Genomic DNA, 17,210 nt, shown 5'->3' with positions numbered 1-17,210 from the left:
GAGATAGAATTTATATCCATTTTACAGCTTTAACGTGTGTACTTTTTTTGTATCTGGCTTCTTTCACTCATGTTTATAAGTGAAATGGAATGTCCTTGCCCATGGTTATAGATTGTTGCCACCTAAGTTTTAAGCAAGGGAGTAGTGTGGGCTGACCTCTGGGTTAGAAAAGCTACTTTAGCAGCTTCGAGGAGGGTAGAATAGAAAGACAAGAAGACCCATGGAAGGAGCTAGGGAAATAATCCACACAAGAGATGATGAGGACTGACCCAGAGCCCAAGCAGTGGGGGTAGAGAAGGGGTGGAAAGATCAGAGCTCTGGAGAAGCAATTCAAAACATGTGTTCCATTTACAGTGTCCTTCAAACACAGAGGAGAACACTCAGCTGAATGCTCAGAACCCAAGCAACATTAATTGACCACAGCATTAGTTTGGGTGCTTTTCAAGATTTAAATGAAACAAGCTACATCTCTCTGAGAGTCTATTGTCATAGATGACCGGGATGAGACAGAAGAAGCTAACACAATGTGGATGAATGACAGGGTCCCTTGAGACTTTAATGACCTCAAGTGATGTTGGAAGAGTTTTGTAGCTGATTTCTTTTTCTTACATATATTTTGAGTAGCAGAGTGTCAACATAAAATTTAGATTGGTAAGGAAAACAACACCAGGATTGAAGAGAAAACAGGGGTAGGTAAGAGTTTTAGCAGAAAGTTGAGAGGGATGAGGCTGTGAGTGGGTGTGTAGTACAGACAGAGGGGAGATGGCTGGTGAAGCATGAAGTGAGAACTCATTCTGCATCTATCTTAATCTCACGCTTCTCAAACTTGGGTGTATATATCTCTGAAAGCATGTCAGGAGGAACTAGAGCCACCCAATAAATATAGTACATTTTCTTGGAATGTTCATTTTATGCTAGGACTGAGGAGAAAGATTCCATTTATTTGGAAACAAACAATGTGTTATGGAGTAGAATGCAAACTTCATGTGAAGTTTTAAGTTAAAACATAAGACTTTAAGTATATTTCTAGCAAATGCTTTTTTGGCCTTCAGCCCCAATGCCTCCCTTGTGATTAGGTAAAATCCAGAAGAAAAGTTTTGCAAAATCTCATCTCCGTCACTTTTGACTCCATGCTCCACTCTATGCTGCTAGGACCTACACTGAGCTCTTTTCCAGACTGTGGTGTTACTCATTCAGCAACATTCCTTCCTTTCTTTACTCACTCATTCCAAACATGTTAAGTAAGGGCCTGCCCTATTGTAGGACCTGGGAGATAGTTTTCTCCTGTACAATACTGTAAGTTCCAGAAAGGACTGTGCCTTAAAAGAAAACATTTAGAATCCCTACAGCGTTTGTCAAAACTTGCACATATTAAATGTTTTATAAATATTTGTTGACATAAAATGAAATGGGATATTTGCCAAATCTTTGCAAAAACTCAGAGAGGAATTAGGAGAGGGACAATAAAGAGGAGAGAAAGGTATGAATATATGTGAACTGCTAACCATTTTGAACTAAACATATTGTTTAATCCTTGAACAACTCTGAGATATAATCTATATCCATTTTACAGCCAAGGAAACTGAGGCTGAGAAAGAATAAAGTAACATGTTTGAAGCAACACAGCTAGTATCAGAGTACAGATTCAATCCCAGCTTTGTCTGGTACTAAGGTCCATGGAGGATATCTATAAAAATGTAAAATGCATGTGTCTTTTGACCCAGTAACTCTAGGAATTTATCGTCTAAATACAATCAAATAAGTGCTTAAAGATACAAACACAAGGATGCTCATTTTGGTGCTAATTGCTAATTGTACCACCACACCCAGCTAATTTTTGTGTTTTTAGTAGTGAAGAGGTTTCACCATGTCGACCAGCCTGGTCTCGAATGCCTGATCTCAAGTGATCCACCCAACTTGGCCTCCCAAAGTGCTGGGATTACAGGGGCGAGCCACCACTCCCAGCCAAAGTCAACTTAAACATAAGTATATATTACTTTTATAATAAAAAGCAAACAAGTTAATAAAATTAAATGAAAATAAAGCCTGCACTTAGATTTAAGTCCTTGATCTATCTTGAGTTGATTTTTATATAAGGTAAGAGATGAGGATCCAGTTTCATTCTCCTACAGGTGGCTTGCCAATTATCCAAGCACCATTTGTTGAATAGTGTGTCCTTTCCCCACTTTATGTTTTTGTTTGCTTTGTCAAAGATCAGTTAGCTGTAGGTATTTGGCTTTATTTCTTGGTTCTCTATTCTGTTCCATTGGTCTATGTGCCTATTTTTATACCAGTACTATGCTGTTTTGGTGACTGTGGCCTTATCGTATAGTTTGAAATCAGGTAATGTGATGCCTCTAGATTTGTTCTTTTTCCTTAGTCTTGCTTTGGCTATGCAGGCTCTTTTTTAGTTCCACATGAATTTTAAGATTTTTTTTCTAGTTCTGTGAAGAATGATAGTGGTATTTTGATGAGAATTGCATTGAATTTGTAGATTGCTTTTGGCAGTATGGTCATTATCACAATATTTATTTTACCCATCCATAAGCATGAGATGTTGATCCATTTGTTTGTGTCATCTATGATTTCTTTTAGCAGTATTTTGTAGTTTTCCTTGTATAGGCCTTTCACCTCCTTGGTTAGGTATATTCCTAAGTATTTAATTTTTTTGCAGCTATTGTAAAAGGAGTTGAGATCTTGATTTCTCAGCTTGGTTGCTTTTGCCTGAAACTATACAAACTCTAGAAGATAACATCAGAAAAAACTTTCTAGATATTGGCTTAGGCAAGGATTTCATGACCAAGAGCTCAAAAGCAAATGCAATAAAAACAAAGATAAATAGCTGGGACTTAATTTAAAGAGCTTTGCACGGCAAAAGGAACAGTCAGCAAAGTAAACAGACAACCCACAGAGTGGGAGAAAATCTTCTCAATCTATACATCTGACAAAGAACTAATATCTGGAATCTACGGCGAACTCAAACAAATTAACAGGAGAAAAAAAAAACCAATCCTATCAAAATGTGGGCTAAGGACATGAATAGACAATTCACAAAAGAAGATATACAAATGGCCAAACAAACATATGAAAAAATGCTCAACATCACTCATGATCAGGGAAATGCAAATCAAAACCACAATGTGATACTACCTTACTCCTGCAAGAATGGCCATAATAAAAGAATCTACACTTCTACACTGCTGGTGGGAATGTAAACTGGTACAACCACTATGAAAAACAGTGGAGATTCCTTAAAAAACTAAAAGTAGAACTACCATTTGATCCGGCAATCCCACTACTAGATATCTAACCAGAGGAAAAGAAGTCATTATACGAAAAAGATACTTGCACATGCATGTTTATAGCAGCACAATTCACAACTGCAAAATCATGGAACCAATTCAAATGCCCATCAATCAATGAGTGGATAAAGAAACTCTGGTATATATATCAAAGATATATAAACTGTGAGATATATATATATATATCATATATTTATGATGGAATACTACTCAGCCATAAAAAGGAATGAATTAATGGCATTCAAAGCAACCTGGATGGGATTGGAGACTATTATTCTAAGTGAAGTAACTCAGGAATGAAAAACCGAACATCGTATGTTCTCACTCATAAGTGGAAGCTAAACTATGAGGCTGCAAAAGCATAAGAATGACACAGTAGACTTTGGGGACTCTGGAGGAAAGGGTGGGAAGGGGGTGAGGGATAAAAGACTATGAATCGGGTTCGGTGTATACTGCTTGGGTGACGGGCGGACCAAAATCTCACAAATCACCACTAAAGAACTTACTCGTGTAACCAAATATCACCTGTTCCCAAAAACCTATGGAAATAAAAAAATTTAAAACAGAAAGAAAGAAAATAAAGCTGCACATATTGTAACACACCATGGGGCCAGGCACGGTGGCTCATGCCTGTAATTCCAGCATTTTGGGAGGCTGAGGCAGGCAGATCACTTGAGATCAAGAGTTCGAGTCCAGCCTAGCCAACATGGTGAAACCCCATCTCTGCTAAAAATACAAAAATTAGCCAGGCATGGTGGTGCATGCCTGTAATCCCAGCTACTCAGGAGGCTGAGGCAGGAGAATCACTTGACACCGTCAGGTGGAGGTAGCAGTGAGCCAAGGTGGCGCCACTGCACTCCAGCCTGAGCAACAGAGCGAGATTCTGTCTCAAACAAACAAACAAACAAACAAACAAAAACCCACCATGGTGCATGGGGTGGGAGCCTAGAGGGGCAGGGAAACTTTGGAGGGAAGAGAGCTGGCTACTTCTAAGTTGAAAAAAAGCAGAAGGCGCTAAGAGGCAAAGGAATCGAGAAAGGGAAATGGTGGTGGTAATGAAGCTCATATCAAGGCAATGATTTTTATTTATTTTTGGCTTAAACAATAGAAGTGTATTGTCTCACAGTTCTGAAGGCTGGACATCTGAGATCAAGGTGTGGGCAGGGTTGGTTTCTTCTCGGGGCTGTAGGGAAGAATCTGCTCTATGCTTCTCCCCTAGCTTCTGCAGGATTGCTGCCCATCTTTGGCATGCCTTGGCTTGTAGATCTCTGCTTTCATGGCGTTCTCTCTGTGTATGTGACTGTGTCCAAATTTCCCCTTTTTGTAAGGACATCAGTCATCTTGAATTGGAGGCTCACCCTACTCCACTATGACTTCATCTTAACTTAAATCTGCAATTACCCTGTTTTCAAATAAGGTCACATTCTGAGTTATGGGGGTTAGGGCTTCAATATGTAAATTTTTTTAGGAGAGGAACACAGTTTTACTCATAAAGGTAGGTACAAAAAGGAACTTATGTCACAAGCAAGGATTTGAACTTCAAGAATTTTGGTTTGTCCATTTAAAAGATAACCATTTTTTTCCCTGCGAAATCAACAGTTTCTAAGTGTTAGTCAAAATCATAACTTATGCAAAGGAACTCTAGGGATATTGACAAAACTGGAAGGGTAGATATCTCTAGCCAACTGGAGATCAATATGAGCCAAGAGGAAACTTGACAAATTCGGGGGAACATTCAGGTAAATAATTGGTCATGGTGTTGTTCACTGTCTATTTACACTGCCTTAAGCTGGTGCTTTTGGCAGATTTAGTGCCCTGAGACTTCAACGCTGAACCTTCACAACTATGACTGAGAAGCATGATAAGACTAATGAGACTATTTAAAATAACTATTTAGGCTGGGCGTGGTGGCTCACACCTGTAACCAGCAATTTGGGAGGCCAAGGCAGGCAGATTGCTTGAGCCCAGGAGTTCCAGACTAGCCTGGGCAATGTGGCAAAACCGTCTCTACTAAAAATACAAAAATTAGCCAGGCGTGGTGGCACGCGCCCGTAGTCCCAGCTACTCAGCAGGCTAAGGCGGGAGGATTGCCTGAGCCTGAAAGATTGAGGCTGCAGTGAGCCGAGATTGCGCCATCGCACTCTAGCCTGGGTAACAGAGTAAGACCCTGAATTGAAATAAAATAAAATAAAATAAAATAAAATAAAATAAAATAAAATAAAATAAAATAGAACAGAATTGTTTAAAACAATGAGACTATTTAATACAAACTGTACAGGATGCATTCTATCCTGCCTCCCCATCTCTCTTTCTCTCTCCCTCTTATTTAAAAAAAATTTAAAAATGTTTAACTGTGATAAAATAGACAACATAAAATTGATCGTCTTAACCATTTTTAAGTGTATAGTTCAGTATTACTAAGGATATTCACATTGTTGTGCAACCAATCTCCAGAGCTTTATTATCTTGCAAACCTAAAATTCTATTCTCCTTAAACACCAACTTGCCATTTCCCTCTCCCTCCAGCCCCTGGCAACAACCATTGCACTTTCTATTTCTGTGAATTTGGCTTGTCTAGCTATCTCATATAAGTGTAATAATACAATATTTCTCTCTTTTTGTGAATGGCTTATTTTACTTAGCTTAATGTCCTCAAGGTTCATCCATGTTATAACATGTGTCAGAATTCCCTTTCTTTTTCAGGCTGAATAATATGCACATTTTGTTTATCCTTTCATCTGTCAAAGGACATTTGGGTTGCTTCTACCTTTTGGCGGTTGTGAATAATGCTGCTACGAACATGGCTGTACAAATATATCTTCAAGATCCTGCTTTCAATTCTTTTGGATAAATACCCAAAAACGGGATTGCTGAATCATATGGTAATTCTTTTTTAATTTTTTGAAGAGCTGCCATATGTTTTTAAATTGTGATCTACTCATTGCTCAGTTAGAAAGATAGAAAGCAAGAAGGTGGCTGTTTCTCAATATATAAATCACATAAAACCCAAGGAAGCAAGCTTGTCCTCAGTAGAATCAAGAGACTTTTAAAGAACTCTGTGATATCTAAAGCAAATGTAGGAGCATGCTTCAGGCTGTTTTCCTGGGAAGTGGAGAAGAAAAAGCAATTGCTGACTAAGCTGAGCGAGGAGCTAAGTATTTTCTACTGGGAAATATTTATCTGCTTGGTGCAGTTGCAAGTTCTGGGGAGTGTCCTTATTAGAAAACAGCTGATAATTCCAGGAAAACTTGGAAGAATCACCATGGTGATGAAGAGTGACCCATTTAAAGTGTAAAGCCTATTGTGAGTTGAACTTTAAAAGATACTTGTATAGAAGTTTCTCTTTCGTGTTGCATTGGACGTAAAATATGATATAAGGTAACATTATTATTATTATCTCCATTCCTCCTGCTGCCTGATGTACTGAGGGGGACCCTAGGACACCTTTAGAGCCTGGTCCTGACTTGGCTACTCCTTAGCCACATGACTTTGACAGGCCACTCAACCTCTGCAGTCTCAGACGATTGATCTGAAGAGCCTCTAAAGTCTCATTAGTATGTGGGTTTACTTCTATGGGTATATAATTGTTTTGGCTCCTTTTTGTTTATTACTCATTTTCTCTAGAACTTGGCTACTGAGCAAACTCACCACATCAGACATAGTGGAGAAGGAGGAAATAAGCCAAGATGTGCTAACGGACAAACACAATGGCAAAGTCCATGTGTTAAAGCTCCTTCTCCTTATTGCTTTTCTTTGACCTCAGGAGCATGGGGTTGAGTAAATCATACTTGTGGGTTCATGCACCCTTTCATCATTAGTCTGGATAAGGCCTCTCTCTGTTTAATTTTACTATATTATTTTCTTTTTCTTTTGCGGGGGGAACAGAGTCTCACTATGTCGTCCAGGCTGGAGTGCAATGGCAAAATCTCAGCTCACTGCAACCTCCTGGGTTCAAGCAATTCTCCTGCCTCAGCTTCCTGAGTAGATGGGATTACGTGTGTGCGCCACCATGCCCAGCTAATTTTTGTATTTTTAGTAGAGATGGGGTTTCACCCTGTTGGCCAGGCTAGTCTCCAACTCCTGACCTTGTGATCCACCCACCTTGGCCTCCCAAAGTGCTGACCTGGCCTAATTTTACACCGGAACTGGCCTAATTTTACTATATTATTTTCTTCTGCTTCATCTCCCATCCCCTTTCCCTTTCCAGGTGCTGTGCTTGTGGTATAAATGGACTATCTTATTTAATTCTAATGACAACACTGGAGTAGACAATGCAGAGAATGCTGTCATCCCCATTTTACATATGGAGAAACTGAGGCTTAAGGAGGCTAAAGGGAAGAGGCAGAATATCAAACTAACCAGACAGATCCAGAATCCACACTCCTAAACACCACAGAAGCTAATCAAGAAAACTGATTTAAAATACAACTTGTCTCTAAGTTATTCTGAATTGTCTGTAGGACACCTCTCCCCCATTATTCAAAGGAAATATTAACAAATCTACTTTGAGGCACTTTGTTTCTCCTCATTCATCTTTCGCAGGACATTATCACCAGAGACAGTTTCGAAAAACTGGGATGATAGTCTCTTTGGATTTCCTTTTCCTCTGTTCCATTTCTCTTGCAAAACTTGGAGCTATAATTGTCAACTTGTGCCTTGACTCTGTGGCTTGCTGGGCACATAATTGAAATGATGTAAAATAGCATTTCCCCTCCTTAAACAGAACACCTGTCCACTCACATTGTGCTCTTTCTGAATCTCATTTATAAGAAGAAGATTGTTGATGGGCAGAATATGCTACTGAAGTGATGTTTCTCCCCTATGGGAGAGAAACATGAATAGTGCAGAGATTTATAATAGGATGAAGTGTGTGCCACCTTTAAGGTAAAGCCACACGAATTGATGGTTACCTAAAGTGATGGCCATTCCTGGTAGTCTTAGCACAACTTAATATGTGATGGGACAAGATTTTTAGCATTGACTACATTTTGTTTGTGAACCCTGGTGGGAGGGGAGGACAACCCTCAGGGGAGATGCAGAGATAGGAGTGGTTAAGGGCTTTTTTGACTAGGAGGGTTCTTTCCAGGGAGCTCTGAGGATGGATTACCAGGATGGGGAGATCAGATCATAGAGAGAGGGACCATACTGGAAATTAATAATAATAATAATAATGTTGTGGATGATGATAATAATGTCAATCTCTATTGAAGGCTTACTGTGTGTCAGATGCTGGATTATATTACTTTATATGCATGATCTTATTTATTCTTCTCAACAACTTCAGATAGATACTATTACGGGGACCTGAAGTAGATATTATTATAATCTCTATTTTACAGTGGAGGTAACTGAGGCTTAGAGAGGTTAAGTAACGTAGCCAGGTCAAGATCACGTAGCCAGCAACAACTCATTGGTCCATGCTTTTACCAGCACACTCACAGAGCCAGTGAGCTTTGGACGCAAGGAGTAAGATCAGGAGAGAATGGGAAAATGCCTTTTGAAGGGGATAATTGAAAGGGCCACAGTGGGATTGTGTGAAGGGCCCAGGTTTGATCGAGTGGTTCAGAGTTTTACTCAAATAGGAAGAAAGAAAACATCAGGTTGGTCCCTCTGGGTGAGAGATTGGGTGAAACTGCTTAAAAAATCCAGACCAGAGCCACATTCTGCCTTTAGAATCAGCTCTTCACTATTTTCCACCCAATTTTAAGGCCATGTTGTTATATAATTTGGATATGACAGCCAGAGATAATTTTCTGCTCGAAACAATTAGTCATATTTTAGGTTGGATAGGTTTGACTGAGTAAATCTTTCTTCAAGTGAGCATTTTATTAATTATAGAAAGGGCTTGGAGAGACATCCTTTCAAATAACGGAATCAAACCCTTTCTCTAAGAGAGGAATCCCTAAGCCTTGCTGGATCTTGCACAAAAATCATATACCATCCCACAGCTAAATTCATTTAGAATCCCACCAGAACATTCTAATGCAATTTTTATGAAGTGTCTTTTATTTTGTACTTGCTTACTCTGTAACAAATGAGTCATTGATTTTCAAAAAATTTTAAATGTATCCAGAGGGTTTTTTTTTTCTTTTCAGTTTTTGTTTTGAACAGCCATTCAGAAGCCAAACCCAGTAACCCTAAGTTCTCCTGGCTGCTTTGCTGTAAAGATAGCTTTCCTCTGAACTGATTGTAGTGGTTGCTTTGACAAGAACGAACCACTTTCTTTTTTTAAAAAAAATTTATTATATTTTATTTTAAGTTCCAGGATACATGTACAGTACGTGCAGGTTTGTTACATAGGTAAACGTGTGCCATGGTGGTTTGCTGCACCTATCAACCCATCACCTAGGCATTAAGCCCTGCATGTGTTAGCTATTTATCCTGATGCTCTCCCTCTACAGGCCCCAATGTGTGTTGTTCCCCTCCCTGTGTCCATGTGTTCTCATTGAAGAACGAACAACTTTCAACTAGCCAAATTGCTGAGATGTGAAAGAAGTACCTTACAAGTCTTTCTAAAATGTTGTCCAGCAATTATGTTTGAATATTTGTGTGTTATATTCAGGGAAGGCCTGAAAACAACAACAATAAAAATGAAACTTTAGGGTCAATCCCAATTTTCTTTGTGATCATGAGGTATTCTAATCTAGAGTTCCTTTGGGAGCCTTTCCTTGTGAGTTTAAGTAGGAAAGCCGACGGGAGCCTCACCGTACAGCTGTGGTCGGGTACAGTAATCCCCTGATGACTAGTCAAAGACAGATCCACTCGATGCCTATGTTTTTTTCTATCATTCAAGAGTGGCCAAGGAGACCAAGGGTAGGAGTGAGAATTCACTAGAGTTTTCAACAAAGCATTCCAATAAATTAAAAAAACAAACAACTTTTGTAAGAATGAAGTGTTTGGCAATGCTGGTTGGTTACAGCGCCCTCATGTGTCTCAGCATGGTAGTGTCATTTTAGGGCTTTCCAAGGGCATGAGATTCTCTCCTAATCATTAGACCAATGCTATTGAATGGAGTCCTTTTCCTCCATGTTTGTTTCTAGGGTCACAAATAGACTTCTTTCTTCTTTAGGTGTTAGTTTGAATCTCCAGTGTGATTATAATTTTTATTAGAAACTGTAAACATGAACTATCTCATTTTCCAGTCTGTTTCTGTGCATGCTCGATAAATGCTTGCTGAATTTGAGCTCATTTAAATGTCAATTCCTGCCAAAAAGTGAAAATAACCCAAATGCCCGGCTGGGGAATCAATAAACAAATTGTGGCACATCCATACAATAGAATACTACTTAGTAATAAAAAGGAAAGAACTACTGACACGCAGCAACAAGAGGCTGTGAATTATAAGGTTCTACTTATGTGACATTCTGGAATCAGACAGATACCAGATCAGCAGCAGCCACAGGGCTGGGGAAATATGGTGGGATTGGTTGCAAATGGGTATTAGGGAACTTTTCGGGGAGATGGAAATGTTCTTTATCTTACTTGATGTTGGTGACTTGACTACATACATTAGTCAAAACTTATCGAACTGGCAATGGTGGTATGACAATGAGTATAGCTGCTTTCCAAAACTCATTGAATTGTGCACTGGAAAAGGGTAAAATTAACTGTATATGAATGATACCTCAGTAAGCCTCATAAAAACTTTCAATTCCTTAAAAAATTATCATGGATTTCTTCCAGAGTACTGAACACCAACCCCTCTGGGTTGGTTTCCTTTTCTTTGCCTATCTGAAAAAGATGCCACGATTAAACTCTTAGACTCTGCAAGTTCCAGCCCAGTTCAAAGTCCCAATGGGGCCAGACTGCATTCCAAACAGTCTGCTCCCCGCCTCTGCCATTATACCAGAGACGGCGTATGCAGTGACACAGTCTCTGTAGCATTTGGATACTGAAAAGGAAAACATCAAAGTTCCGGGCCAGTGCTAGCTGCCACCAACAAGCACAAGCCCCTTGAGGAGAAATGAGATCTGGGCCCTGAAGGCAAATTCATACTGTCAGTTTGCTGGCTCTCCTCAGTGAAGGACAACAACCACGGTTCCTGGGCAGAAGCTGTGCTTTGTACAGATTTATTAGCCACTTGACTGAATGTTCTGCCCCAGGCAGTGCCCAATATCTGATTCTGGAAAACAACTTTGGTTCCCGCAGCTCCCAAGATGTTCTACCTACCCTCATTCCCTATGATGGTGACCTACAAATGTTGATACAGGCCAGTGGTTCTTAAACTTCACTGGGTTCAGGAATCACCTAAGGAGTGTATTTTCTAAATGTCAGTTCCCAGTCTTCACTTGCACTCTGAGATTCTAGTGTAATAAGCCTGGGAGCAGTTCCTGGAAATTGCATTTTAGAAAAGCACCTCTGGTGATTCTGATGCAGGAGGTCTAAGGCTCACACTTTAAAATATGATGATCTGAGGCCTGGAAAAATTCATATACCATCTAGACTTTTGTTTTCACTTGAAATAGTTGAAAAATTAATTCATTGGAAACATCTGACCCATCACGTCGTTGAGTAACACAGTGATTAACAGTGGGGCTCTAGAGTGGGGTTCCTGGGTTCAAAGCCCACCTACACCTCTTATTACCCATGAGGCTTTAGACAGGTTACTTAATCTCTTCACAGCATGTGTGTAAGAGGAAGTAGGATCAAATGAGCTAACACTTAAAAAGCACTCAGAGTGAGTGCCAGTAAGCATTAGATAAACATCATTATTATTCTGTCCAGATCAATAAAGATTGAAGGGAATATTGCAAACCATGAACAAAGAAAGATACTTCAAAGAGCTTTTCATTTAAAGCTTGGACAACTCTAAATACTTCAAATGGTAGACGGAAATGTAGCCACTTTATGTATGCCAAGTTTCCTACATTCCAAATTTCTTTGGAATTTAGGAAATTTTTTATATTAAAAATATAAGCTGAACAAATATGTAAGCTGAACTTAGCAGTACCCCTTTTCTTTGATTAAGGAGCTTATGACAACTCACATATATCAGCTTGCTCATCTTTATAAGTTATCCATAATATTTGGTGCTTCTTAAAGATGCAAATCAGAATCATGTGTAGAGCTTTTGGAAAGGACAAATTTTGACTCAGTAGAGATTGGGGTGGGGCCTAGGGAATCTGATTTTCTAAAAAGCTCTCTCCATGATTTGGCTGTACATTCCAGGTAGAGAACAACCATTACAGGTGAAAGCTGGGATAATCTACCTTGTTTTAAAATGTAAGAAACAGAGACAAAACATGTTAAATACTTTGCCCCAATGTCATTCAGCAAATCATTTGGTGAGGCAGGAGTTGGATTTTTGTCAGTAATTCCAGGGGCTACTATATTAGTACTTTCCACTATGGCTTATACAGTATAAGCTATTTGTATAGGGTAGGATAAGCAAAGTAAATTTTTACTCCCTCATTTGCTTATGAAATAGTACTCTGATCTGAATATGTAGGAACTTTAGAACTGCTGACCTGGGATTCTGAATTCCTTTCAGATTCCACCTTTTACCTTCTTAGCCACGTATCCCCATTTACTGATTATCTCCATTAAATCCCTGGAAGTGTAAAGGAGAGATGGCTCATACAGTGCTTGGGTCAAATCCCTATGGGAAATAAGATCATGTGCTTAAAGACTTGTTCTTCCCCATTCTTGGAGCTTAAGGACCACAGCTTCATCATGATCAAATCCAAGATAAATTAGTACATAAATCTAGGAAAATGAGGATCTCATAAGATCACGAATCTAAGAATATTATCTTATAAATTACTGACTCATAAATCACCGGGGCATGAATCACACGAATATCAAAAAGGCCATTCTAGTGGCTGAAGGCAGTGGCATTTTGGTGGCCTCTACTCTTGAGTTGAGATTTTTGTGGATTCCCTTCTCATCTTGGGAAATATCTGTAACCTATGAAGTCCCTCAGAAACCATTTTCCTGAATGTATTATCAGAGAAGAAAATCTGTTAAAGTCTGCCATTGGGAGGAGGGTGGCCACCAATCAAGTGAAATCATTCTGCTGAACTTGAGCCAGGGAACCAAATTGGGGCAGTATCATTTTGCATGCAAGATGGCCCAGCAGGCTGGAATCCCTGCCTGCAGACCTTCACACATCACCAACTTTTTGCTAATAAAACAGACCCCATTATTTAGTTTCTTCTTGGCATCCACTGGCTGCTTCCCTTTCAGACTTTCTGTTGCCCATATTTCAATATCCCACCTTTGCATTCTCCTCCTGCTCTTGTTAAAGTACTGTTTCTTTCTTTTTCTTTTCTTCTTCTTCTTCTTTAAAAAAAAAAAAAAGATCCCTTTTAATCAGATAGCTCCTGCTGGCATGAGCTGTCAGAGGTATTCATTTCAGTGGACTCTGGCCTTATGCTGCATTACCTTGGCAACAAGATTTAGAAGCAAAGCCTTGGCCTTGAACTTGTCAGAGTCTCCAACGATGTGAACTCAGCACATACTACTCTCTAGCATATCAAGTTGTCATGCCAACCACTAACAATAAAATCCATCTCTGTCTTCTAGGGTTTTAATTCAATAACTTTTCAAATTGGTTCCTTCTGTAATTCAATTGGTCTGGAAATGTAATATATGAACGTGCACGTGTGTGTGTGTGTACACTGTGTTTAACCAGTCACTAATGGCCTTCCACTAAAAGACTGGAGGTTGGAAATGCAATATAGGTCAAAAGTTCATCAAAAAGCAAAGAAAACCGGTGCTGGATCTAACAAAAGAAGCCTGAAAATTTGGAAATCCTGACAAAGAGGTAACTAAACGAAGCCTCAAGAGCTGACTTCTGCCCTCAGATATATGCACATGACTTCTATTGGCACGGGTGCATAGCACATTTGATACTCAGAGTAGCTGTTCCCCCATAGATATTTAGAACTCCTTTAGTTTTGAATACACAACCAATTTCCATTTCTTTTTTTTTTTTTTTTTTTTTTTTTTGTGAGACAGAGTCTCGCTCTGTCGCTCAGGGTGGAGTGCTGGAGGCAGTGGCGCCATCTCGGCTCACTGCAAGTTCCGCCTCCCGGGTTCACGCCATTGTCCTGCCTCAGCATCCCAAGCAGCTGGTACTACAGGCGCCCGCCACTATGCCCAGCTAATTTTTTGTATTTTTTAGTAGAGACGGGGTTTCACTGTGTTAGCCAGGATGGTCCCGATCTCCTGACCTCATGATCCGCCCGCCTCGGCCTCCCAGAGTGCTGGGATTACAGGGGTGAGCCACTGAGCCCGGCTAACCAACTTCCATTTCTTTTTGAGACGGAGTCTTGCTCTGTCACCCAGGCTGGAGTGCAGTGGCGCGATCTCGGCTCACTGCAAGCTCCGCCTCTCGGGTTCACGCCATTCTCCTGCCTCAGCCTCCCAAGTAGCTGGAACTACAGGTGCCTGCCACCACGCCCAGCTAATTTTTTTTTTTTTTTTTTTTGCATTTTTAGTAGAGACGGGGTTTCACCGTGTTAGCCAGGATGGTCTCGATCTCCTGACCTTGTGATCGGCCCGCCTCAGCCTCCCAAAGTGCTGGGATTACAGGCGTGAAGCACCGCACCTGGCCCCAACTTCCATTTCTTAAAAGCATTCCTATTTTTATATTTACATTTCATTTTCCTCTGAACCAGAAAGCTCTTTAAGAACCTGTCCCCTTTGAAAGACTCTTAATCTTCTAAGGACATTCAAACAGGGATTGCATGGAGTCTAGGGGCTGGAAGTAACCAGGGGTCGGGGCTTCTCAAACTTATGTGTTTCAATGCCTCCTTATTCTTGTGCCAACTCTGTGATTATTTGCTCCTTGTTTTTCTCCTTTAATTGACATGTTTTAATAAATTTAGAGAGGGAACTTTATATCATTAGTCTGATACTCTGCTTTTTAGACCCTCTGCCCCTAGGGGCATAGTTCTCTCTTAGTTTTCAATAATTAACACGTATAGGGTTGTCAGTGTGCTAGCTGATGACCACTAAAAATACTTTTTGTGTACTAATTCGTTTAATCTTCACAATCATCATAGCAACCCTTTGAAGCAGGTAATTATTTTTATCATCATAGCTTCACAGAGGAGGAAACAAAGATACTGAGAAGTTAGGCAGCACATCCACAGCTAGTATAAGTAAGGACTGAGTTTCAAACCCTGCAGCCTAGTTCCAGAGTCTCAACTCAGAATACTGCTTTACTGGATTCTGGCTGATATGTGAGCCTGTCTGCAAAGTTTTATACAGGAAGCACTGATTACCTAAAATTGCAAATTTCTTGAAGGCAGAGACCATCTTTAATACTTCCATCTCTCTCTTAGTGCCTACTTGTGTACCTTTGACATAATACTTGCTTAGAAATATGCTCAGTTTGTGAAAGAGTGATCTGGGAGAATCCTAGAATATCAAATTCAAGGCCACTTTGAAAAATCTAGTTTTTGTATAAGTTGGAACAAAAGAGGTTATCTTCACCTCTAAACCATACATATATAAGTTCTTCTGTAGAACAAATTCATTGACGTTAAAGGCCATGTTTGGTGGTGTGATGGATATTTTCTGTTGGCACCCCTACCCTGGCCCGACCCAGAGACACTTTCTACCTTTCCCCACTGTGCCCTCTGCCCTGGGCACCTGACCTTTACCAACTGCATCAACTGGACTTTCTTGCTTTCCAGCTTTGCATTGGGTTGGGAGGCACTGGCTGGAGAATGAGAGAAAGGTTGGACTATTTACTCCTGTAGCTCACTCTTTGCCAAGGCACAGTTTGGTAATGCTTTCTTCTACCCAAGACCATTGGTTCTACTGCATAGCCCTCTCCTACAGCTACAGCTCTTGCTGGTATGGAAACAACTTCCTGCTGGTACTAGTTCCAGGGCACTTCACCATTCCTTATTGGTGTCCTCCTGTAAGTCTAACTTAACTTTCATTAATAGTCTCTTCAATAAATGTATCATCTGTCTCCTGACAGGATCCTGGCTCTTAACACTTGTCATCTGGCCAAGTGCTTGTCAAATATTAATGGACATGAGAATCACTTACAGATCTTGTTAATATCCAGGTTCTTATTCAGAGGACTGGGGTGGGACCTGAAATTCTGCATTTCTAACAAGCTCCCAGGTCAACGGATGCTCCATAGGTCACACTTTTGGTAACAGTGATCTAGTAGATGGTCTATAGTTGTCACTTGACAGGTATTTTAAGTTGAATTAAAGAATGGCTAAATGAATGCCTTGGATGCAATGCTGCATTCAATACTGGTGAAGGAAGCTACAGCTTCACGCCACACCTATCTTGTAATAACTTACCCCTGAGGTCCCAGCAGGGCTGCAGCAGACCCACCTGGTCACACCATAAAGTTCACAGCTGCTTGGACACCCGTATCTCTGTTTTTCTCATTGGCACAGCCACCCTGGTGATTCTCATCATTTTCAGTTAATACTGTTTATTAAAAACAGCAACTACCACATCTAACTTCCTAGAAATTGAATTCGCACACACAGGTAATTTTTTCTTCAGAGATGAAAGAAAAACTGATTATTTTCAACATCGGAATCAATTGCCCCTGAGGGACAATTCTTGCTGAGTGAAAGGTGGGAGAGAAATTCATGGTTTGCCAAATAGTAAGTTTTATTTGCTCAGATTCTGTATAATCTTGTACAAACAGGCTCTATGTGCAAAGGCAAAGTTAAGCTCCAAGGGATCGTTCAAAACAAGACCCAGCTGATGGCAAACTACATCTAGCTGTGCTTGTAAACAGATGAAGCTGTTGGGAGATCTGAATTCCCTTTTACATTTAGCTGACCAACTACGATTTTTGAACACAAACTAAGTGCCAGGTACTACATCTCTTTGTAGGACATGATTATGTACAAAGTAAAATGTTATTAATTTCAAATCCAAATATACTGAATATTGTGATAATTCAGGCGGATGCTAACC

General features: G+C 40.1%; 1 long non-coding RNA gene across 1 annotated transcript in view, besides 1 other annotated feature; it reads left to right on the top strand.

Annotated features, from left to right (window-relative positions):
* The window catches only part of ADD3-AS1 (ADD3 antisense RNA 1), a 62,823-nt gene that overhangs the window by 19,571 nt on the left and 26,042 nt on the right, over positions 1–17,210 (top strand). The window lies entirely within an intron of this gene.
* Positions 965–1,466: an enhancer, noted in NCBI's record as "NANOG hESC enhancer chr10:111747103-111747604 (GRCh37/hg19 assembly coordinates)". NCBI's record gives its function as "activates a minimal SCP1, AML or CMV promoter by ChIP-STARR-seq in primed H9 embryonic stem cells {active_cell/tissue: H9 hESC(primed)}" and the evidence as "EXISTENCE:reporter gene assay evidence [ECO:0000049][PMID:30033119]".

This window comes from Homo sapiens, chromosome 10, assembly GCF_000001405.40.
Source record: "Homo sapiens chromosome 10, GRCh38.p14 Primary Assembly".
Lineage (NCBI taxonomy): Eukaryota > Metazoa > Chordata > Mammalia > Primates > Hominidae > Homo > Homo sapiens.
Note: the sequence above shows the minus strand (reverse complement) of the source record. Positions and strands in the feature narration are given on the sequence as shown.